Here is a 24338-nt window from a genome sequence, read left to right on the forward strand (position 1 = left end):
CTTCTCTTTTTGTTTCTGTATTTCAATCAATCGATCAAAATATTTCCTTTCTTTTTTTCGTTTTTTTTTGTTTGAGACAGGGTCTCGCTCTGTCGCCCAAGTTGGAGCGCAGTGGTGTGATCTCGGCTCACTGCAACTTCTGCATCCCAGACCCAAATGATCCTCCTGCCTCAGCTTCCCAAGTAAGGAGAGACCCCTATGCCTGGCTAATTTTTTAGTATTTTTTTTGTAGAGACATGGTCTCATCACGTTGCCCAGGCTGGCTGGTCTGGAACTCCTGGACTCAAGCGATCCTCCTCCTTGGCCTCCCGAAGTGCTGGGATTACAGCCATGAGCCACCGTGCCCAGCCAATCAAGCTATTTTCTAGACTGATTGGGTACTGCCACCACCAAGAGTGAGGGTTTTTCTACAGGGTAGATTGACGGAGCATCAGCTCGGTCTGTGATTTCCTTGGGCCTCATAATTCCCCCGTAAGATTGAGATTGCAGATAAGGAATCTGAGGTTGCACCAGAAAAAAGTAACGAGGTCCATCCAGCTGGTGTTTGCGGGGATACCGGCACTGCAGCCCTGGGTCTGGACTCCAGGGTCCAACCTCTGATCTGCTCCAGACCTTAGTCATCACGGCAAAGGTAGTCCTAGCTCATATGCCGCATTTTCTCATTTTATGCTTGGTGTAACTGACAATACTGAAAATAACCAGTATTGATATCCTGATTTCATTAGAGAAATGACTCTCAGAGAGCTTAGGTGACGGGAAGCCTGTCTAAGGTCACACGGCTAGCACAGATCAGTAGTCATGCCTCAAACCCATGCCTTCATGGGCTCCAACCCAAAAGACGGAATGCTGCTGGAGGCGCTGCCTGCAAAGCAGATAGTGCAGGGCCTGGCCAAGAGGGAATGGAAAGTGTTTTTTTGTTTTTTTTGTTTTTTTTTTTTTTTTCCTTTTTTGGAGACAGAGTCTCACTCTGTTGCCCAGGCTAGAGTGCAGTGGGGCAATCTCAGCTCACTGCAACCTCTGCCTCCTAGGTTCATGCGATTCTCCTGCCTCAGCATCCCGAGTAGCTGGAATTACAGGCGCCTGCCCAATTTTTGTATTTTTAGTAGAGATGGGGTTTCACCATGGTGCCCAGGCTGGTCTCAGACTCCTGACCTCAAGCGATCCGCCTGCCTCCGCCTCCCAAAGTGCTGGGATTACAGGTGTGAGCCACCGTGCCTAAAGGCGGTTTTTAAAATGGATTCGAAGAGGCTCCATTTTTCAGCATTTGACACGCCTTTTCATCATCATCATCTGAAAATCGGGACCCTATTTGGCCTTTCATGCCCGACATGCTATGAGGAGCTACAATCACAAGTGCGTCTTCAACTCCACGGCCTCTGCCAGCCACCACCAAGCCACAGTCACACAGCCCCTCAGTCCCAGGAAGCAAGCCTTTTATCGGAAGGGTCCAGAATCACTGCATAGGATAAAGAAGTCCAGACACTGCCCCTCTTTTTTTTTTTTTTTTTTTTTTTGATACAGGGCCTTGCTCTGTAGCCCAAGCTGGACTGCAGTGGCGCCATCTTAGCTCACGGCAACTTCCGCATCCCAGGCTCAAATGATCCTCCTGCCTCAGCCTCCCAAGTAGCTGGGACTACAGCTGCACACCACCATGTCTGGCTAATTTTTTGGTATTTTTTGTAGAGACAAGGTCCCGCCATGTTGCCCAGGCTGGTCTCGAACCCCTGGACTCCTAGAACCTGGGCGCCCTCTTGTGACCCTGCCAACCCCTTCCTAGTACAGTGTCCACAGGTGGCTGTCCTGTCCCATCTCCCAGCTCCACACCCCCTTTTGGTGGGGATGCCCTTCCTCCCTGAGATTTTCAGCACCATCTCGGCCTGGAACCTTCCAGGAATCCCTGGACCTTCTGAGTCCTACCATCACCCAAGCTCACTCCCTGCTGCCCTTCCCACTCCTCCTAATTCTTTACCATCTCATGTGTGTCTCAGCCACACTCTGACCACGGTATACACAGACTGTGTGATGAACCTACTCAGGGTGGAGCGCTGCTTCTCACATCCCTCCTGAGCCCCCTGCGGCACCAAGTACAAAGCCACTCACACACGCCCACTGATGGATTTAAACAAGCGTGTCATCTTTAGAAGAGCTTGGTTTAGAAGTCTTTTTTTTGAGACAGAGTCACGCTCTGTCACCCAGGCTGGAGTGCAGTGGTACGATCTCAGCTCACTGCAACCTCCGCCTCCCCAGTTCAAACGGATTCTCCTGCCTCAGCCTCCTAAGTAGCTGGGACTACAGGTGTGCGCCACCACGCCGGGCTAATTTTTTGTGGGTATTTTTAGTAGAGATAGTGTTTCTCCACTTTAGCTAGGCTGGTCTGGAACTCCTGTCCTCGGGTGATCTGCCCGCCTTGGCCTCCCAAAGTGCTGGGATTACAGGCATGAGCCACCGCGCCCGTCCAGAAGTCATTTTTTAAAATCACATAAAGGATGAGCGGATACACAAAATATGGTCTATCTGCACAATAGAATATTATTCATCCTGAAAAGGGAAGGAGATTCAGTCACAGACTACAACACAGATGAACCGTGAGGACGTGAGGCTCAGAGAAATAAGCCAGGCACAGGAAGGACATAGGTTGTATGAGCCCCCTTATATGGGGTCCCGAAAGTCATCAGATTCCTAGAGACAGAACGGGGAAGGGTGGCTGCCAGGGGCTACGGAGGGGGCCAGGAAGCTGCTGTTTAACGGGGGACACAGTTTCAGTTTGGGAAGAGCTGGATGGTGGTGATGGCCGCAAGATAACATGGACGGGCTTAACAGCACTCAACTCTGCGCTTCAAAGTGGTTCAGCGAGCTCATTTTATGTCACATGTATTTCACCACGATTTTTAAAAAAATCACATCAAGGACCATTCATGCATTAACAGAAGACTGCTGGGGCCAGTGGAGCCACGGCCTGCCTATCTGATACCCAGGCAAGTAACATCCACACGGGTCCAAGCATTCCCTGGCCTTGAATTACGCTGAGTCCTGGTCACTGTTGCGCTCCTCAGGGCAGCCCTGGCCTGAGGCAGGGGTGTCATCTCTTTACAGATGCCTTGCTGGGGAGAGAACCGGAGTTTCCGCGAAAGCGCAGAAGTGGACACTTACGGAGAAATTCCTGTCCTCATATCAATTCCCGGCTCCCGGGATTTCCGGCACGCATTATGCACAGGCTGAGCGCTCAATAAATGTGGAATGAACGATCGACTATTTTTCTCCCCTTTCTGGTAGGTTGGTAACCTTATACCTTCAAGACGAGTCATAAATATTAGGAGAAAATGTTTTGAACTACAAATCAAAGGCTTTGAGAGCAGGCCAGGCAGAGAGAGGTCAGTTTGGTCCAAGACCAAGTTTGTGTGGGCAGCCCCGAAGCTCACAGCTGAGACCACTGTCCATGAACCTGGGTCCCCGTGACAGCCTCCAGCGGTGCTCAGAGCCCCCGAGGGACAGAAACACCCTCTCTGCCCCTATCTGCAGAGGGGGCTCAGCAGAAGGCCTGGTGGCCCCATCGGGCCTGGAGGGGCCTCCTGGGGGAGGTGGCTTTCAGGCCTGAGGCCGCTAGGACCTGCTCCGGGTTTCAGTCGGGAACCTGGGCCCTCTCCTGTGCCCCCGCCACCCCCTTTCTAGTACAGTCCCCGCGGGGGGCTGTCCTCTCCCATCTCCCAGCTCCACACCCACTTTTGGTGCGGCTGCCCTTCCTCCCTGAGCCAGGCCCCACCTTCCCAGGAGCCTCTGAGTCAGGCTGGGCTGTGGTCTGCAAACTTCCGGGCCTTTCAGGTGTCAGAAAAGTTTCTCTTCCTCCCTCTGGGGCAGGTGCACCAAGGGGCTGCAGCCTCCTGACCCCCGATTTTTTCCTGTCCAGTAGGAGGAGGTGGGGGCTTTGCTGGGCGGTGATACTCAGAGACGCTCAAAGAGACACGGAGGAGAGGCACACGAGGTGGAAAGTGAGGGAGAAAAAGGGTTGGAAGGGAAAAAGGGGAGAGGAGAGTGAGAGAGAGAAGGGGGGCAGGGGGACAGAGATGGAGAGGGAAGGATACCCCCAGCATCGCGGGACCAGCGGGAGCCACTCCCATCCCCCGACGCCCCCCCCGCCACCGTGTCATCTCACTGATGCCCCCCATCTCCTCCCCGTGCCCTCTTCTCTTCCCCCAACTCCCCGCCTCGTGCTCCCCCTCCGCCAGCTCCCCCATCCCCGCTGCGCCTACCTGGGGCGCTCATGCTCCGCCAGCCAGCTGCGCGGGGCGCCTCCTCCACGCAGGCCTCCGGCTTCCTCCAGGCGACCAGGCCCTCCGTCCCCCCGGGCCCGGAGCCGTCCTCCGAGGGGCGCCGCCCGCCCAGGGGCTGCAGGGCCGGGAGGGGGCTGCGGGCGGCGCGGGCAGGAGTCCGAAGGCCAGAGGAGGCAGGAGAGAAAAAAGGAGAGAAAGTATGTCATAGGCTGGGAGGGGCGGGGGAGGGAAATGCAAAACCCGACAGGAAATGAGACTAAAAAATGCGAAAGGTTAGAAAAAGATAAGGAAGAGAGGGAGGGGGCGGAGTCGGTGCTTCGGGAGGAGGGCGGCAAGGAGGTGGGGGTGGGAGTGGGGACAGGGCCGGGGGTGGGGGTGCTTGGGGACAGATCAGGGAGCCGGAGATGGGGAGACCAAGGCGAGTCTCAGGGCCCAGCCCACCTGCATCAGTCGGGGTGAGGCTGGACCAGTCTGGGCATCAGTCCCCACCCAGCCGTGACCCCCGGCAGAGTCCAGGTGGGGCCTTGGGAGGGGCTCTCTCCCTTCTAGGTTCTCCAGGGCACTGGCTCCCGAGATCTAGCTGAATTTCTGAAGAAATTCCAGAGCCTGTCACTGCAATGGGAGGGGAACGGGGTGCCCCACATCAAATCCTGCAGCCTCCTACACCCCAAGCCTCTTTCCTCCCTCAGCCCCTGTTCTGGAAGCTTCCTGGGCATGCCGGGTGGTCAGCACCCCTTCAAAGGCCTTCCTCACCCCGACAGCTTTGGGGTCCAAGACACCCACCATCAGCTTGTGCCCTCGATGTTCCGGTGAAGTATACTTGTAAGAGAAACTGTGATTTGGATGTCATCATTTTACTTTATTTTTATTTTTTGAGATGGAGTCTCGCTCTGTCACCCAGGCTGGAGTGCAGTGGCACAATCTCAGCTCACTGCAAGCTCCACCTCCTGGGTTCAAGCGATTCTCCCACCTCAGCCTCCCGAGTAGCTGGGACCACAGGCGTGCACCACCAAACTTGGCTAATTTTTGTATTTTTAGTAGAAATGGGGTTTCAACATGATGGCCAGGCTGGCCTCGAACTCCTGACCTCAAGTGATATGCCCACCTCAGCCTCCCAAAGTGCTGGGATTACAGGCATGAGCCTCTGCGCCCAGCTGGATGTCATCATTTTAATAATTTACCCCAAATGGCCATCGTCATGGGTGGGATGGTCCCAAGGGTTTACATGGATTGCAGACTCAAAAATCTGGATGAAAGAAAATGTGATACACACACACACGCCATGCAATACTACTCAGCCATAAAAAAGAACGAAATAAAGTATTTTGCAGCAACTTGGATGGAACTGGAGGCCATTATCCTAAGTGAAGTAACTCAGGAGTGGAAAACCAAATACTACATGTTCTTATTTAAAAGCGAGAGCTAAGCTATGGGTAGGCAAAGGCAGGCAGAGTGGGATCATGGACGTTGGAGACTCAGAAGGGGGAAGAATGGGAGGGGGTAGGGGATGAAAAATCACCTATTGGGTACAATGTATACTGTACAATGTGCACTATTCCAGTGACTGATGCACTAAAAGCCCAGACTTCACCACTATACGCTTCATCCACGTAACCCAAAACCGCAAGTACCCCTAAAGCTATTGAAATAAAAATCTGGATGAGCCATGCCTACCCAGAAAACCTTAGTTTCTATTCTCTTGCTGCAATTGCACTGCCTCCTGCACCGCCCGCCCCCCCGTTGCCCCAGCCTCTGCACCTCTCATTCTACTCTGCCTCAGTTTACCATTCTCCTCTCATCTATCTCCCTCTCTTTTGATCCCCTCATTATGGCTAGAGAATGTAGGCTTCTGTTTCATGTTTTAAGTGTTCTGAGAAAAGTTCCTCGAGCTGCTAGAAGGAAAGGCCTTCAATAAATTAAATTTTCAGCAAGACAATAAATAAAAAATGGGACATTGGTCCAAGCACGGAAGAATCTGAAATACCAGTGAGGAGTCTGTTTGCACTGATGCACATGTGCTAGGGATGAAGGAAGACACGAGTTTGCTTCCTGTAAAGCGTGTTCAGAAATGCAAGCAAGGGCCGTAAAGAAAGTTTCTAAAATGAACACCAAGACCCACAGCCTTCTAACACCAAGACCCACAGCCTTCTAGGCCTTGGTCCCTAAGGATACATCTCACTGCCTACCTGGGACTGGGGAAGCTGCTTGTACTCCATGAAACCTCTAAATCAGGCAGTGGCATTTTATTTATTTATTTATTTATTTGGGATGGAGTCTCACTCTGTTGCCCAGGCTGGAGTGCAGTGGCACGATCTCGGCTCACTGCAACCTCCACCTCCCGGGTTCAAGTGATCGTCCTGCCTCAGCCTCCTGAGTAGCTGGGATTACAGGCACGCACCACCACACCTGGTTAATTTTTGTATTTTTAGTAGAGATGGGGTTTTACCATGTTGGTCAGGCTGGTCTCTAACTCCTGACCTCATGATCCGCCCACCTCGGCCTCCCAAAGTGCTGGGATTACAAGTGTGAGCCCATGCGCCCGGCAAGCATTTTATTTTATTTCATTTTATTATTTTTGAAACAGGGTCTCGCTCTGCTGCCCAGGTTGGAGTACAGTGGCTTGATCAAGGCTCACTGCGGCTTTGACCTCCTTGGCTCAAGCCATCCTCCCGCCTTGGCCTCTCGAGAAGCTGGGACTACAAGTGCACGCCACCACGCCTGGCTAATTTTTTAATTTTCTGTAGAGATGAAGTCTCACTATGTTGCCCAGGCTGGTCTTGAACTCCTGACCTCAAGTGATCCTCTCGCTCAGGCCTCCCAAAGTGTCAGGATTACAGACATGAGCCACGGCATCTGGCCTGTCATTTTAAAGAAGAGCTCAGATTTCCCTCCTGCAAGATACGAAATGAGGGCAGTGCCTTAAAACAATGAAACATGTCTGTAGAGATATGTATGCAGTAAAGTACACAAATGCTGCAAAGTCCCATGAATTTTTGCAGCAACTTGGATGGAACTGGAGGCCATTATCCCAAGTGCGAGTGTAACCCACACCCGCACTTCATTCTATCAAAACATGGAACTTTATCTGCACCCCAGAAACCCCCTTGTGTCTCGTTTCAGTCACTCCGCCACCAAGGGTAGGCACATTCCTGCCTCTGACAGCATCAGTCAGTTTGCCTGTTTGTGAACTGCATGTAAACGGCAGCATGCATGCGTTCTTTCGGCAGCCTGGTCCCTTTCACTCAGCGTTATGTTTCTGACTTTTATAGATGGGACTGCATGCGGGTCTAGTTCATTAAGACAAGCCTGTTTCTCCTCCAATATCTTATTAAAAATTTTAAATGTTCAGAAAAGTTAGAAGAACCATCTAGTGAATCCGCATATACCCCACCACTTGATTCTACAACTAGCATTTTGCTATATTGGCTTTATCACAGATCTATCCATCTATCTCTCCATCAATCCTCTCGTCCTTTTTGTTTTTTTTGTTTTTTTTTTTTTTTTTGAGACAGAGTCTCACTCTGTCACCCAGGCTGGAGTACAGTGGCACGATCTCGGCTCACTGCAAGTTCCGCCTCCCGGGTTCATGCCATTCTCCTGCCTCAGCCTCCCAAGTAGCTGGGACTACAGGCGCCCGCCACCATGCCTGGCTAATTTTTTGTATTTTTAGTAGAGAGGAGGTTTCACCGTGTTAGCCAGCATGGTCTCGATCTCCTGACCTCGTGATCCACCCGCCTCGGCCTCCCAACCTCCTGTCCTTTTTTCTGGGTGTATTTCAAAGTAAGTTGCAGACATCATCAGTACACGTCACTGTTAAACACTCCATCATGCATGCCATTCACTAGAGAGGTTTGTTTAGGTGAAATTTACAAACAGATTTTAACCATATGATGCAGTGAAGCTGGGGATGGTGGCAGGTGCTTGTAGTCTCAGCTACTCCAGAGGCTGAGGTGGGAAGATTGCTTGAGCCCAAGAGTTCGAGGCTGCAGTGAGCTGTGATTGCACTACTGCACTCCAGCCTGGGGGACAGAGCAAGACCCCACCTCAAATACATACATACATACATACATACATACATAAATGATTTAAAAACTATATGATGCAATGAGTTTTGACAAATGTACATATTGTGTAAGCCAAGCCCTTATGAGGACATAGAACGGTGTGGTCCAATGTGACAGCCACTGGCCACATTTGACTGCTGAGCACTTTGACAGGAGGCTGGTGAGAATAGGAAGCGAGTTTTTAATTCTCTTCCATTATTATTATTATTATTAGAGAAGGAGTCTTACTCTGTAGCCCAGGCTGGAGTGCAGTGGTGCGATCTCGGCTCACTGCAACCTCCACCTCCCGGGTTCAAGCAATTCTCCTACCTCAGCCTCCTGAGTAGCTGGGATTATAGGCGCCTGCCACCACGCCCAGATGATTTTTGTATTTTTAGTAGAGACTGGGTTTCACCATGACGGCCAGGCTGTTCTTGAACTCCTGACCTCCAGTGATCCGCCTGCCTTGACTTCCCAAAGTGCTGGGATTACAGGCATGAGCCACTGCACCTGGCCAATTTTAATTATTTTTAATCTAAATCCAAAAACTAACACTTGATTTTGTTATCGAAAAGCTTTTAAGTACGTCTGGAGCAATTTGAGCATGTTCACCTACTTTTTCAACTGTAAAGTTAATGAAATCTAAATACAGGTCAAGTATCTCCGAGGAAAATGTGGTGTCTGCATTGACGTGCTGTACGTGTAAAAGAAACCAGATTTTGAAGACTTTGTGTGTAAAAAAGAATATGAAACGTCTCATTAATAATGTTTATATTGATTGCATGCTGAAATAATATTTTTGATAAGTTGGATTAAATGAAATATCTTATTAACATGCATTTCCCTGGTTTCTTTTTGGTATTGCCAGTAGGAAATTTAAAATTACACATTTTATTTCTATTGGGCGGTGCTGTATTATATAGAACACAACTATCACCCCACTGAGTTCCCTCATGCCTAGATACACCATTTTGTATCTTGATTCCTCTGTGATCCCAGAGAGAAGTTGATTCCAAAGTCCTTGAATCATAGACACAAAGATGGGAACAACCTGCTGGGCACGGTGGCTCAGGCCTGTGATCTCAGCACTTTGGGAGGCCAAGGCGGACAGATCACTTGAGATTAGGAGTTCGAGACCAGCTTGGGCAACATAGGGAGACCCTGACTCTACCAAAAATACAAGAAAATTAGGTGGACATGGCGGCGGGTGCCTGTAGTCCCAGCTGCTCGGGAGGCTGAGGTGGGAGGACTTCTTGAGCCCAGGAGTTCAGGGCTGCAGTGAACCATGATCACACCACTGCACTCCAGCCTGAGTGACACAGTGAGACCCTGTCTCTAAAAAAAAGATAGCAAACTAAACACAAAATTTACCTGCCAAGAACAGTGGGGGATAGGTTATAAAAAGGTGCCTGGAAAGAATGCAGGTAAGAGGTGAGAAGCATTTCTGGGAGGCAGACGGCAGTGGACAGGAGCCCCGGCTCAGAGCCTGGAGCAGGGAGTCAGCAGCAGAGCTGAGAGTGACTCTCCTACTGTAGAACCCCTCAGATCTGTCAGGATTGAACTGAAGGCAGTCTCAGAGGAAGGGCAGACACCGAGTGACTGATGGGAGCATCATCTGTAGGACTGCTGGGGCAGGTACGGCTGCCCCACTTCCCTCCCCCAACCCTCCACTGTGCCACTTTAGCTTCCCCCCTAGGCCGAAGCCAGAGAGATCTTTCCAGTGAAAACTCTTGGTTTGATGGGTACAGACATGCAGTTAAATAGAAGGTACAAGTTCTAATGCTGGACAGCAGAGTAGGGCGATTGTAGCTAGCAACAATGTATTGTATATTTCAAATTAGCTAGAAGAGAGGACTTGAATTATTCCCAACATGGAGAAATGATAAATACTCAAGGTGATAGATGCCCCAAATACCCTGACCTGATCATTCCACATTCTATGCATGTAACAAAAGGCTGAGCCCAGTGGCTCACGCCTATAATCCCAGCACTTTGGGAGGCCAAGGTGGGAGGATCGCTCGAGCCCAGGAGTTCAAGGCCAGCCTGGACAGCATAGCAAGACCCCATCTCTACAAAAAATTTAAAAAGTTAGCTGGGTGTGGTGGCATGTGCCTGTGGTTCCAGCTACTCAGGAGGCTGAGGTGGGAGGATCGCTTGAGCCCAGGAGCTCAAGGCCAGCCTGGAAAGCATAGCAAGACCCCATCTCTTCAAAGAAAAAAAAAATTAGCTGGGTGTGGTGGCACGCACCTGTGGTTCCAGCTACCCAGGAGGCTGAAGTGGGAGGATCGCTTGATCCCAGGCGTTCAAGGCCAGCCTGGACAGCATAGCAAGACCTCATCTCTTCAAAAAAAAAAAATTAGCTGGGTATGGTGGCACGCACCTGTGGTTCCAGCTACTTAGGAGGCTGATGGGGGTGATCACTTGAGTGCAGGAAGTTGAGGCTGCAGTGAGTTGTGATCACACCATTGCACTCCAGCCTAGGCAACAAGAATGAGATCCTGTCTCAAAAAAAATCACACACATACCATAAATATATAAAATATTATGTATCAATTTTTGAAAAGCTGCTCAGAGGGGCAAATGCTCTTAGAATGGGGGCATGGGCCCCAAAAGCCCTTCCTCATGTCATAACAGGGGGGCGGCTGGGGTAGCCTCTCCCTGCCTGGGTTCCCAAAAGCAGGGCTTCTGGAACCATCTGCAGCGAAAGACACCCCCAACCCCTCCTGCCTTTAAAAAAAATTCTAATCTGTTACGGCCTGATACTTTTGTGAAATATAATAAAAATTAATTACTAGAAAATAGAATTTTAAAAAAGACACTCAAGACACAAGCTGGCCGATCATGCTTGGTTGTCGTGTCAATGTCAAAACTGCTATAAAAGTTTCTAAATGCTTAGTCTTAGTTTCGGCTCTTATCTTGGTGCGGACCGGTGCACTGAAGGACACAGGTCCCCAGACCAGATTTCTCAGAGCATAGCCCTGGAGTCAAGGCTGCCTGTTGACACAGTATTCCTGCCCCCCGTTATCCCAGCTGGCCTCTCCTCCATACAGAGGTTGGAAAAGACAAAGGAAACTCCACACGAGTCAACACGGACCTTCCCAAACATGGACAGAGATCAGCAGCTTGAAAGGGTGGGACTTAGATGAACAAATTGGACAATCATCTCCCAAGGGCAGGAAGGGAAGAAACAATGATGAGAAGGGAATGAAACATAATGATCCAAAAAGATCCTCCAATGAGAATCCGCAGAGAGATTCGAGCAGAGATCACATCCATCAAATAAGAACAAATTACTATGAAACAGGCTGCCTGAATAAAGGAACAGGTCATGGAAATTAAAAATAGGGTTGTTCGAATAATAAAATAAAATTTAACATACAGTAGAAGGGCTGGAAGAAGATGTCTGTGAGGTCTATCTGCTGGGCTGGAAAGCGAGAACTAAATAAAACCCAAAAAGAAAGAAGAAGTTTGAGAGAAAAGTTGAGATCTAAATGATGAATTCAGAAAGACCAATGTCTACTTAGTTCCAGCAGGAAGAGAGAAGGTGGAGGGAGGAATTAATCATGAGATAACGATAATATTTGTCCGAGCTGAAGAATGACATGATTCTTCATGAGGAGAGAGACCACGGAGGGCCAAGTAGGATGAATGAAAAAGATCTGTACCTAGATATAGCCTCATGACATTTCAGGAAAGAAAAAAAAAAAGATGGATAATGAGAAGGCTCTAAAATCTTTTAGAGAGAAAAATCATGCACACTGATGCCAAGTTCCCAGTGGGATTCAGAATTCTCATCAGCAACATTGGCTGCTAAAAGACAAGGAAGTCATGCATCAGTGTTCTCAGGGACATTTAATTTAAACTTAGAGTTCTGATTTCAACCAAATCATCAATTAAGTGTGAGAGCAAAATAAACATTTTCCTCAACATGCAGGGAACTTTGGAAATTTAATTCCTAAGCACTCCTCAAGAAAAAAGTTCCTTGAGAATGGATGACAATAAAATGAAAAAGAAATCTAGGGGCCAAGTGTGGTGGCTCACACCTATAATCCCAGCACTTTGGGAAGCTGAGGCAAGAGGACCAATTGCTTGAGGCCAGGAGTTCAAGAGGAGCCTGGGAAACATAGCAAGACCCCATCTCTAAAACCAAACAAACAAACACCTAGAAATTGGCTGTGTACACACCTATGGTCCTAGCTACTCATGAGGCTGAGGTGTGAGGATTCCTTGAGCCCTGGATTTGGAGGCTGCTGTGAGCCATGATTGAACCACTGCACTCCAGCCTGAATAACAGAGCAAGGTCTCAAAAAAAAATCTAGGAAAAAGGAACTCAGAAAGACTGAAATAAATAAGTGAAAATAATTCTTTTAAATATAAATAAATAGGACAATTTAAAAAATAACAATTGTGCAAGAGACCTACAAAAATGTCAGTATACAAGGAGACTTCAAAAAATTCATTGAGAAATGAAATTAAAATATAAAAATAAAAAATATAAATGTTATTTCCCAACATAAGCTCCATCAAGGTCAACACTTTGGAAAATTATGATATCACCCATTGAGTTCATGCCTAAAGAACTGAGGGTCCTTGGAATTTCATCATGTCAATGCAGTCTTTTTCGCATTTGTAACTGAAGGAGAATGGGTGCCCTTTGCAGATTTTTTAAGATTAGGAAACAAAGAGAAGTCAGAAGGAGTCAAATCAGGACTGTACTGTAGATGCCTGATGATGTCCCACTGAAACTCTCACAAAATTGCCCTTCTTTGATGAAAGGAATGAGCAGGAGCATTGCCATGGAGGAGAAGGACTGTCTGATGAAGTTTTCCCTAGCGTATTTCTGCTAAAGTTCTGGCAAACCTTCTCAAAATACTCTCACAATAAGCAGATATTATTGTACTTTGGCCATCCAGAAATAGAACAAGCAACATGCCTTGAGCATCCCCTAAAATTCTTGCCATGGCCTTTGCTCTTGACTGCTTCACTCTTGCTTTGCTTTGACTGGACTCCTTCTACCTCTTGGTAGCCATTACTTTGATTGTGCCTTGTCTTCAGGATGGTACCAGTGAAGCCATGTTTCATCTCTTGCTACAATTCTTTGAAGACATGCTTCAGGATCTTGATCCCACTTGTTTAAAATTTCCACTGAAAGCTCTGCTCTTTTCTGTAGCTGATGTAGGTGCAATGGTTTTGGCACTCAACAAGTGGAAAATTTGATCAATTTTAATTTTTCAGCCAGAATGGTGTGAGCTGAACCAGTTGAGATGTCCGTGGTGTTGGCCCTTATTTCTGCTGTTAATCATCAGTCTTTTTCAACTAGGGTGTGAACAAGATGAGTTTCTTTCTCACGACTTGATGTTGGGGGGGGGGGGGGGCTTCATCTTCAACATTGTTTTGTCCCTTCTAAAAAAGAGTTGTCCATTTCTAAACTGCTAGTTTCTTTGGGGGCACTGTCCCCATAAACTTTGCCAAGCATCAATGATTTCGCCATTCTCCCACTCGAGTTTCACCATAATTTTGATGTTGCTTCTTGCTTCAATTTTAGCAGAATTCATGTTACTCCAATAGGGACTTTTTATAAACTGATTCCTTAGCCTTCTTAGTGCTCCAAACTGGATCCTTTTCAGACATGTTATAACCAGTTCACATGCGTTTATTTTGGTGCCAAAAAAAATTTAAATCTATGCATGGTTTTTTGAAAATATGCGTTTTCCATGAACTTTTTGAAATCTCTTCCAATATCAGAGCTTTTAGTAAAGACCCTGGCTAGCTAGTGGAAAGATCTTAGCTGCTAAAAGAACTGAAAAGAATTGTTGAAGTACCGGATGGGACTAATTTTTAAGCCAGATCCATCTGGAAGTCTTATTTGATCAAAAATGGTCATTTCTAAGGAGCTCAACTAGGAAGGGCGTGAGCAAGGACTATATGGGTGCGCTTAATTTTCAGTGTGTGCCCCTTTATTCTGACAAATGTCTATTTCCACAACCGTGCAATTCTTTCATAATAAAAATAAAATCATTTACACAAGAAGCGTGTGCATGTGCATATGTGTGTGTGTGTCTGTGCATTTGTGTGCACGCATATGTGTGTGCATGCATGTGTGTGTGTGCATATGTGTGTGTACACTACTGAATATTAAATACCAGGGCAGAGCTGATCAGTTCTCTTACCTCCCTGCATTCAAGCAGTCAAGTGATCGTAGCATGGATCTGTGGTGTGGTCACAGGTCACATACTCAAATCCTTCTTGTGTTTAGAGAAAACCCCTCTGTTATCTGGAAAGCATCTTGTCTTTCTTCTGCGCCCCTCCTCCATGATAGTAGGAAAAGTAAAACTTTTAGCTCTCTCTGGCTTAAAATTTAGCCCAATCCAGTAATTGATTAGTCCTTTTAGATGGTACTCACTCTTTCTGGATTGACATGTTGAGTCTCTCATGCAGCCGTCCCCTCCCTCAGCTTCCCCCTCTCGGATGGTTCCTGAGTGTGCAGGAGGAGAGTGGCTCATAGGGGCCTGGAAGGTCCCAGAGGACGTCTTGGGGTCCCAAGCCTCTGTCCTCTGTTTCTCAGTTCTCTAAGACAATGCCCCTTCCTTGGCTGATTGTGCTGGCCTTGCTGGAATTCATGCTGATTTCCAGCTTGGGTATAACACACAGTCTGCTTTCTCCCAGCTCGGCTGAGTGTCTGTCATATTCCTATCCAGCCTGGAAGTCCACCTGCCGCCTCTGCAAAGGGGTCACTTTGCAGTATCTCAGTCACTCACCTAACTGTCACTGCACCGGGAACTTAAAAGCAGCTTGGGAAAGCCCATGCTTCAGGCCTCTCTGCAGGACATGGAGTGGCACTCGGTTTTTGCAAGGGCAGCCCAAGATGCAGGTCTGGCCCTGCCCCACTATCCCCTCCCTGTCTGCTCTGTGCAGGAGGAGGCCAGTACACCCACCTCTCCCCCTGGGGAAGCTGAGAAAGAAAAGTGATATCTGCCCCTAGTGCATGCATCCGTGTGTGGACAGACATGTGCACGCTCTTTTTCCATCTGAACAGAGACAACTGGACTAGCCCCTGAGATGGGGATTCTCATGTGAGTGGTTAATTGAGGGGTGCTCTCAGGAGCAGGAAAGTGAGAGGAGGGGAAGAGCAGAGAGGGAGAGCTGGATGGGGAGGTGATGCCAGCTGGTGTTGAGACTTGACCCCTTCTCCCGGGAGCTCTGGAGCATGAATGGCCTGTTGGGCTGATGGGCTCCACCATCCGTCAGTCACTGGTTGCAGGCTGCCTGGAGGTGGTGTGTGTAACATGTCTTCTCTCAAAACAGGGTCACTTTGAGCTGAGATCATCTTAGAAACAGGGAGGGCAGAGGCTGGGCGCGGTGGCTCACGCCTGTAATCTCAGCACTTTGGGAGGCCGAGGCGGGCGGATCACAAGGTCAGAGCTCAAGACCATCCTGGCTAACACGGTGAAACCCCGTCTCTACTAAAAATACAAAAAATTAGCCGGGCGTGGTGGCGGGCGCCTGTAGTCCCAGCTATTTGGAAGGCTGAGGCAGGAGAATGGCGTGAACCTGGGAGGTGGAATTTGCAGTGAGCCGAGATCGCGCCACTGCACTCCAGCCTGGGTGACAGAGCGAGACTCCATCTCAAAAAAACAAAAACAAACAAACAAAACAACAACAACAACAAAAAAAAAACAGGGAGGGCAGCAGCAGGGGTCCATGCTGCAGCTGCAGGATCAGATGTGGTTCGTTAAATCAGTTCAATTTTTGAAACTGTCAGCTTGGCTTGCCTCAATGCCCCTTCCTCACTACTGTCCCCCATACGCCTCCGTATGTCTCCCAGTGCTCTCCATCTTCTGTGGTTCTTCCCCTTACAAACGTTAGCCATTTATAGTAGCTTAAGAGTTGTCTGCATCCCCCCACAAGAGATTAAAAAAATGGGGAGAACAGAGAGGCTGAGGTCGTACCTTGGTCTCAACGCTGTGTTAGGAGCCATTGCTGGATTGTATGGAGAGTGAAATGGAATGAGAGAGGGAACCCAGGGGAGGTTGTGGTTCTGTCTCTTAAATGACCCCTCCTTTGCTAGGGCAGTCCCCCTTCGTTCCCTCGCCTCCAGAGAGCAATCTCAGCCAGTGGCAGCTGCCTGTGACTCTGGGAAAATCATTCCTTATCAGTGAAACAGTCACACGCTTGGGACAGCAAGAAAGCATTTCACAAACTATTGATCTGAGAATTAATATATTGCTTTTTTCCCAGATGCCACACCTCACTGCCGTGGTATATATTAATACCCCACAAAATAGCATCAAGAGCAAAACAGAACCCTATAGGCCTTTAATTATGTTTTACGTACTTTATACTTCTACGTGGTTATTGCTCTCTGCCTCTGCAAGCTCATGCCTCTTAATTTCAGATTGTTTCCAAGCCATCTCCCTATGCAGAGATGATTCCAGAAAGGCATCAATGTGTCCACATTACCCCACACTGATAAAAAATAACCCACTGAGAGGTCCATTTACTTTCCTGACTGCTGAACACCTTCAATGACCCCTGACTTGTTGGCTGTTTTTTCTTAAAAAAAATTCTTGCAGAAAGCATGGCTCATATCCAGGAGGAAAATACTTTCCATCTGTAGGCTGGTAATACACATGCAACAGTTTTCAATTGCTTGGGCTATGAAATATGATGATAGCCATCTATATATTTCACGGGGGGAAAGGATACCTTGAAATTCACTCCACTACCGTGCTGGCGTGGAGGCATTTCTGCACGAAATGTGCAAAACGATTGTATGCTCATGAGAATACCACGACTAAAATGAACTCAGGGCTTTCTGATCTAAGCCTTGAGGACAGCTCCAGGTGGTCCTATAGAGGCTCTGTTTTCTGCGTGAGGCAGATAAATGTTGGAGAAATGTGGCAACATCCGATTCACCGCTCATGGCTGTGTACTGTCTGCTTTTCCTTTCCAAGGGGAGAGGTGACAGTCCCTGAAACTTGACCACCATTTTCTTCCCCCGTTAATCAACATTAGGGTAATTGGCACGCTACATCCATTTACAGTGTGGCGTGTGTGCTTGCGGCTCTCTATAAATAATGAAAAAATCACAGTAATGACCAGAAATGTGTGTGAGGCGTCGCGGCGAGCGTGTAATGGATGCTTTGTTTGTCTTCGGGGACTGTATTACCAGCATGTAACTGATTAGGCTTTAAAACGCTCTAGGTTACCTGAGGCCCGGAAGGTGCTTCATCACCTCTGAGTCTGTTCTCCTCTGCCGGGAACTTAACAGAGGTCCAATATTTGCTTTTGGTTCCCCCTGTTTAAAGACGGAAAATATTTAACCCTGCTCGTCCATCACCATGCCTGCCGATTGCTTTTTCTCCTCCCTTTGCTTTTAGAGGAAGAAACTGGAAACACTCAGGCCGTATAAACAGCTTTGAGTTATGTCTGTTTTTTAGCACACAATGTTTGAGTACGCAAGTCAGGGCTCATTAAAAACACGAATGTTGTAGCTTATACAATTGGCCTCTTTAAACACAGTCGTCCACACACCAGTGGTTCTCGAACTGTTTTATAGTAGTCTGGGTTTTTTTTATGAGGCATCTCTCAGTATCTACGTGCATAACACACTCCAGCGTATTTCCCTAAGGTTCTGCTGGGCACAGCGGTACTCACACCATCACTCCAGCCAAAGAAGAAGTAAACATCCCGTGATTAAAGTGAGAACCAACTGTCACTTTATCAATGTGGACACCAGCGTGTGACAGTTACGTTGCAACTATTTAGAAGAATTTCATGAACCTCTGAGCTTGCACACACTTATGCTGTTTAACTTTAGCCTTGGCATATTTTGCACCCTGTAAAATCAAATGCATTGTTAGCTGCTTGGACCCAAACCGTGCATAGCATGTTTGAAAATCGACATGTTTCCAACCTTTGATTTTCTCAATCAAAGAATTGTGTCTATTTGGAATGTGTCTGCTAAAATGGCTGAGTTCAGAGTATAAGAACACAGAGAGAAATAGCAGGGCTGCGAGGAAAGGGTTAGCCGAGGGAGGAAAACAGGAGGAAGGGAAACTTTACAAGGTCAGACAGGGAGCGCTGGAGAAAGAAAAGAATGATTAGAAGTGAGAGGAACGGCCACGCGCGGTGGCTCACGCCTGTAATCCTAGCACTTTGGGAGGCCGAGGCAGGCAGATCACCTGACGCCAGGAGTTCCAGACCAGCCCGGCCAACGTGGTGAAACCCCGTCTCTACTAAAAATGCAAAAAATTTAGCCAGGCGTGGGGTCGCGCTTCTGTAATTCCAGCTACTCAGGAGGCTGAGACATGAGAATCACTTGAGCCCGGGAGGTGGAGGTTGCAGTGAGCCGACATGATGCCACTGTATTCCAGCCTGGGTGACAGACTCCGTCTCAAATAAATAAATAAATAAATAAATAAAAAGAAAGAACAGAAGTGAGAGGTAGAACAAATCACTCTGATCAGAGAGAAGCCAATGCTGGTGACATCAATAAGGTTCAGTAATATTCAGCACGAAATACAAGAGGCAAATACACTGAAAAAATAGGCAAACCATCATGGAGCCGGAAGGCTTTCATTTGGCAAACAGTCCAAGACCCCCATCCTGTGCACTGCCAATGGGGGGGCACACACAGAGCAAAATTAAAACAAGAGCAGCCAAACACACCCTCTCTCCCTCTCTCTCTCTCTTTCACACACACACACACACACACACACACCCCGCTTTGGTTTTCAGCACCAGTTTTTGTATCAGGGGATGCTGAGATGAAATTACTGTGTGGAAATGGCCCATACAATTTTAAAGCACTTGACTAGATAAATGAATGATATCAATATTTTATTAATAACTCTTAAGATCACTGGGCCCGCATACATGACTGTGGATGCAGCTAGTTCCTTTAAAGTGTGGTGTTCTACTCCTTCATGACCTGGCCTGTCCCAGTAACACCACTGCATATTTGAGCCACGGAACAGAGCATTCTGAACAACTTTCTACGTATTTCAAAATTATATTTAGCAATAATTATATCAATCTGTAATAATCATTACTTTAATCTGTTCTATGGCTTTCAATGATCAGTTATAAAAAGAATGGATTTTTCAATTTTATTTTATTTAATTAATTCATTTAGAGACAGGGTCTTGCTCTGTTGCCCAGGCTAGAGTGCAGTGGTGCAATCATGGCTCACTGCAGCCTCAACCTCCTGGGCTCAAGCAATCCTCCTGCCTTAGCCTCTGGAGTTGCGAGTACTACAGGGGAGTGGCACCATACCCAGCTAATTTTTTTGTTTTTATGGAGCCGAGGTCTCGCAATCTTGCCTAGGTTGGTCTTGAACTCCTGAGCTTAAGTGATCCTCTTGCCTCCGTCTCCCAAAGCGCTGGGATGACAGGCAGGCGCCACTGTACCCGGCTGATTTTTCAGTTTTAAAGGTGTTATGCAAATTCAGGAAAAGATTCTGGGTAAATACTGAAATGTGTACCTACAACAAAAATATGGCAATTTGGGATTCACCGTCTGTTTCAGTGTTTTAAACGTTAAACATAAACTACAAGTGATCACAAAAATGGCAGCAATTAAGTAACTCAAGCTCTGTTTTGTTGTCCTTCTCACTGTTATTTTATTCTCGTTCATTTGGAATCTACCTTTTAAGCACAGGAATCTGTAGGACCGTAGGGGTTCGAGACAAGAATCTGCCAGAAATGAACCCAAACAATCTTGAAACTTTAGGAATCTACACTTTTATTTTCAGTAGCTTTATTGAGATATCATTTACATACCATAATGTTCACCGATTTAAAGTGTGCAATTCAGGCCAGGCACAGTGGCACCGAGTAGTTCAAGCTACTTGGGAGGCTGAGGCGGGAAGACGGCTTGAGTCTAGGAGGTGGAGGCTGCAGTGAGCCATGATTGTGCCACTGCACTCCAGCCTGGGTGACACAGTGAGACATTGTCTTAAAAACAGAACAAAGCAAGGTTCAGTTCAATGGTTTTTAGTATATCTACAGAATTGGTATCACTCCAGCCAAGGAAGGAGTAAACATCCTATGATTAAAGTGAAACCCACCCGTCACATTTTTTCTTTTTTTGGTTTGGGGGACACAGTCTCACTCTGTTGCCCAAGCTGGAGTGCACTGGTGTGATCTCGGCTCACTGCAACCTCTGCATCCCAGGTTCAAGGGATTTTCCTGCCTCAGCCTTCCAAGTAGCTGGGATTACAGGCACCCACCACCACACCTGGCTAATTTTTGTATTTTTAGTAGAGATGGGGTTTCACCATGTTGGCCAGGCTGGTCTCGAACTCCTGACCTCAGGTGATCCGCCTGCCTCGGCCTCCCAAAGTGCTGGGATTACAGGCGTGAGCCACCGCATCCGGCCACACCTGTCACTTTATCGATGTGGAGACTGACGTGTGACAGTTACACTGCAACTATTTAGAAGAATTACATGAATCTCTGAGAGTGCACACAATTATGCTTTTCAACTTTAGACTTAGAATATTTTGTGCCCTGTTGTCTAATTTTAGAACTTTTTCTTCCTCCCCCAAACAAACCTCGTACGCATTAGCAGTCATTCTCCTTTCTCCACCCCCTCTCCCCAAATCTCCTCCGTCACCCCTCCCTACCCCTAGCCAACAATCACTCTTCTCTTTATTTCTATGGAGTTACCTGTTCCGGGAATTTTCTATAAATGGAATCATACAGTAGTCAGACTTTTGTGTCTGGCTTCTTTCACTTAGCGTCATGTTTTCAGAGTTCTCCCACGTGGTAGCAGGTATCAGTATTTCTTTCCTTTTGTTGCCAAAAATTATTTGTTTCTAGAAATAGATGACAAGTTATTTATCTGTTTATCGGCTGATGAACTTATATTGTTTCTACTTGTCGGCTGTTGTGAATAACACTATGAACACCGATGTGCAGGCTTTGTGTTAAGAGATGTTTTCATTTCTCTTGGGTAGATACCTAAGAGTGGAATTGCTGGGTCATATGTATAACTGCGCATTTAACATTCTCAGGAGCTGCTAGAGTGTTTTCCAAAGCAGCTGCACCATTTTACATCCACTCCAACAGTGTTCAAGCATTCTAATTTCCCCAATACTTGTTACTCTTTTCTTTATGGTAGTCATTTAAATGGTGTATGGTGGCATCTCATTGTGGTTTTGACTTGCATTTGTCTAATGACTAATGATGTTGAGAACCTTTTCTTTATTTACTGGCCATTTGTGAATCTTCTTTAGAGAAACGTCTGTTCAAATCCTTGGCTGATTTAAAAAATGGGATTGTCTTTTTATTATTGAGTTAGAAGTGTTCTTTATATATTCTGGCTACAAGTCCCATATCAGATTTGTGATTTGCACATGTTTTCCCCCACTCTGTGGGCTTTTTCACTTTCTAGATGGTATTGTTTGTAACACAGAAATTTTAATTTAATTGCTTATGCATTTGGTGAAATAGCTAAGAAATTATTGGCAAACCCAAGGTCACAAATATTTATTCCCATGTTTTCTTCTGAGACTTTTACAGTTTTAACCTTTACGTTTAGGTCTATGATCAACTTTTTTTTTTTTTTTTTTTGTGTGTGTGTGTGTGTGTGTGTGTGTGTGTGTGTGAGAGACATAGTCTCACTCTTTGGCTCAGGCTGGAGTGCAGTGGTATGATCTCAGCTCACTGCAACCTCTACCTCCCGAGTTCAAGCGATTCTCCCACCTTGGCCTCCTGAGTAGCTGGAATTACAGGTGTCCACCACCATGCCTGGCTAATGGGGTTTCACCATGTTGGCCAGGCTGGTCTTGAACTCCTGACCTCAAGCGATCCACCCACCTCAGCCTCCCAAAGTGCTGGGATTACAGGCGTGAGCCACTTCACCTGGCTGCCATGATGCTCTTTGATGGAATATTTATGTATGGTGTGAGGTAGAGATCCAAATTCATTCTTTTGCATGTAGATATCCGTGAGTCCATCATCCATCCATTATCATCCATCACCATAATAGAAACGATTCTCTCCTCATTGAAGTGTCTTGACACGCTTGTCAAAAATCCATTATGTTTGGACTCTCAGTTTTATTCAATTTTTCTCTATGTCTATCCTTATGCTAGTACCACACTATCTTGATTACTGTCATCTTGTAGTAAGTTTTGAAATTAGGAGCTGTGAGTCCTTCAACTTTGTTCTTCATTTTCAAGACTGTCTTGAATATTCTGGGGCCCTTGAATTTCCATATGAATTTTAGGATAAGCTTGTTCAACTTCTGCAAAGAAAAAAAAAACAGCTGGGATTTTGATAGGAAATTGTGTTGAACCTGTAGATCAACTTGAGGAGTATGAACGTGGGTTGTCTTCCTATTTATTTAGATTACCTTTAATTGCTTTTGACAATGTGTTGTAGTTTTCAGTATACAAGTCTTATACTTCTTAGTTATCCCTAAGTATCCTATTCTTTTTGATGCTATTGTACATGAATTGTTTTCTTAATTTTATTTTTGAATGGTTTATTGTTATCATCTAGAAACACAATTGATTTTTGCATATTGATTTTGTATCCTTCAACTTTGCAGAACTCATATTTAGTTTCAATAGTTTTAGTGGGTTCCTTGAGATTTTCTACAAAATCATGTTATCTGAGAATAAGGATTGTTTTACTTCTTCTTTTCCAATCTGGAAGTCTTTCATTTCTTTTTCTTTCCTAACTGCCCTGGCTAGAGGCTCCAGCAGTGGCCAGAGTGGATGACCTTGTCTTGTTGCCACGGGAACTCACTCTTGGGGAGCAGCTGAGTTGGGGGGATGTTGGGAGCCGACTGCAGGAACGGGAGTTCTTGGAATTAACTCCCAGGTAGTATACAATATGTATTAAAGCTTGAGTAATAAAAACTGTGCTAATCCAGAGTGCACATAGCTATTATTAAAACCCAACAGTCACCACAGCAATTGTTTAGAACTTAGCCCGAACAAAGATTTTTTTCTTTTTCGATGAGGAATAGCTGATCATGGGCATTGTGTAGAATTGCTGGTGCATGGTGATAATAGAAACAGTCTAACTCTTCATTGGTTTTATTGTTAATTTTAAATTCTCTACAGACAATGGACCCTTTCCTGCAGGAGCCTGGAGTAGGTGGCTCCCAGTGTGCTCCACCCTTGGGGTGCCAATGCCCACCCCACTTTTCTGACACCCTCTGAAGCCTACTCAGACACAAATCTTTCTCTGATGTGCACACCAGTTCAGCCATGAGCATGGCCTGGGTCTTATCCATTCCTGCCTCCCTTCCGACACTGTGCACACGTGCTTCAGAGTGGAATTGAGACGGCCTGGGCCCCATTGATTGGCACTCTCTGCTCTACCCCAGCACTGGTCTTTGGGGCCCATGTGCAGACAGCCCAGGATGGCAATCACAGGGCTGCAGTGTCTCAGTCCAAAAACCTTTAGGCAGAGCAAACACAAGCTAGAAGGACCCAGTCTGAGTCACTCAGTTCCACTGTGAGTGCATCGTGGGACCCGGGGCCCATGGTGCAGCTCTTTCAGTTTCTCTTCTGTGAAATGAGGACAGTGGTGCAGTCTCAACCTGTTGCCACCACCCAGCCTCCTCCCCTTTCTCCTCCACCTCCTTCCCTGCCCACCTCAGAGTGGAAAGTTTTGTTAAGGTGGCTGTATTATTGAGTCTTCGGGAGGAGTGAGGTGTCAGGAATGAAAAGGGGGAGAAACAGCCTGCTTACATCATTCCTACCCCCTAGCCCCCTAGGGGCTCACATTCTTCTTCTTCTCTTCTTCTTCTTCCTCCTCCTCCTCTTCCTTCTTCCTTCTTTCTTCTGCTTCTCCTCTTCTTCTTCTTCCTCTTCCTCCTCCTCCTCTTCTTCCTTTTATTCCTCCTACTCCTCCTCGTTCGTCTTCTCCTCCTCCTCTTCCTTCTTCTTCTTCTTCTTCTCCTCCTCCTTCTCCTTCTTCTTCTCCTTCTCCCCCTTCTCCTTCTTCTTTCTTCTTCTTTCTTTGTTTTTTAGAGGCAGGGTCTTGCTCTGCCGCCTAGACTGGAG

General features: G+C 46.8%; 1 protein-coding gene across 2 annotated transcripts in view, besides 4 other annotated features; it reads right to left on the reverse strand.

Annotated features, from left to right (window-relative positions):
• CARD11 (caspase recruitment domain family member 11) overlaps positions 1-4448 on the reverse strand; it is a 137726-nt gene extending 133278 nt beyond the window's left edge. For both annotated transcript variants that reach the window (NM_032415.7, NM_001324281.3), the window contains exon 1: positions 4248-4448. The gene's annotated coding sequence lies outside the window, so the exon portion shown is untranslated. The remainder of the gene's footprint in view (positions 1-4247) is intronic.
• Positions 4161-4510: a silencer, noted in NCBI's record as "silent region_17892". NCBI's record gives its function as "represses an Ori minimal core promoter by ATAC-STARR-seq in GM12878 lymphoblastoid cells {active_cell/tissue: GM12878}" and the evidence as "EXISTENCE:reporter gene assay evidence [ECO:0000049][PMID:35858748]".
• Positions 4161-4670: a biological region, named in NCBI's record as "Sharpr-MPRA regulatory region 4127".
• Positions 4376-4670: an enhancer, noted in NCBI's record as "tiled region #4127; K562 Activating DNase matched - State 4:PromP". NCBI's record gives its function as "activates a minimal TATA promoter and a strong SV40 promoter by Sharpr-MPRA in K562 cells {active_cell/tissue: K562}" and the evidence as "EXISTENCE:reporter gene assay evidence [ECO:0000049][PMID:27701403]".
• Positions 23743-24062: an enhancer, noted in NCBI's record as "active region_25557". NCBI's record gives its function as "activates an Ori minimal core promoter by ATAC-STARR-seq in GM12878 lymphoblastoid cells {active_cell/tissue: GM12878}" and the evidence as "EXISTENCE:reporter gene assay evidence [ECO:0000049][PMID:35858748]".

Source organism: Homo sapiens, chromosome 7 (genome assembly GCF_000001405.40).
Source record: "Homo sapiens chromosome 7, GRCh38.p14 Primary Assembly".
In the NCBI taxonomy this organism is placed as follows: domain Eukaryota; kingdom Metazoa; phylum Chordata; class Mammalia; order Primates; family Hominidae; genus Homo; species Homo sapiens.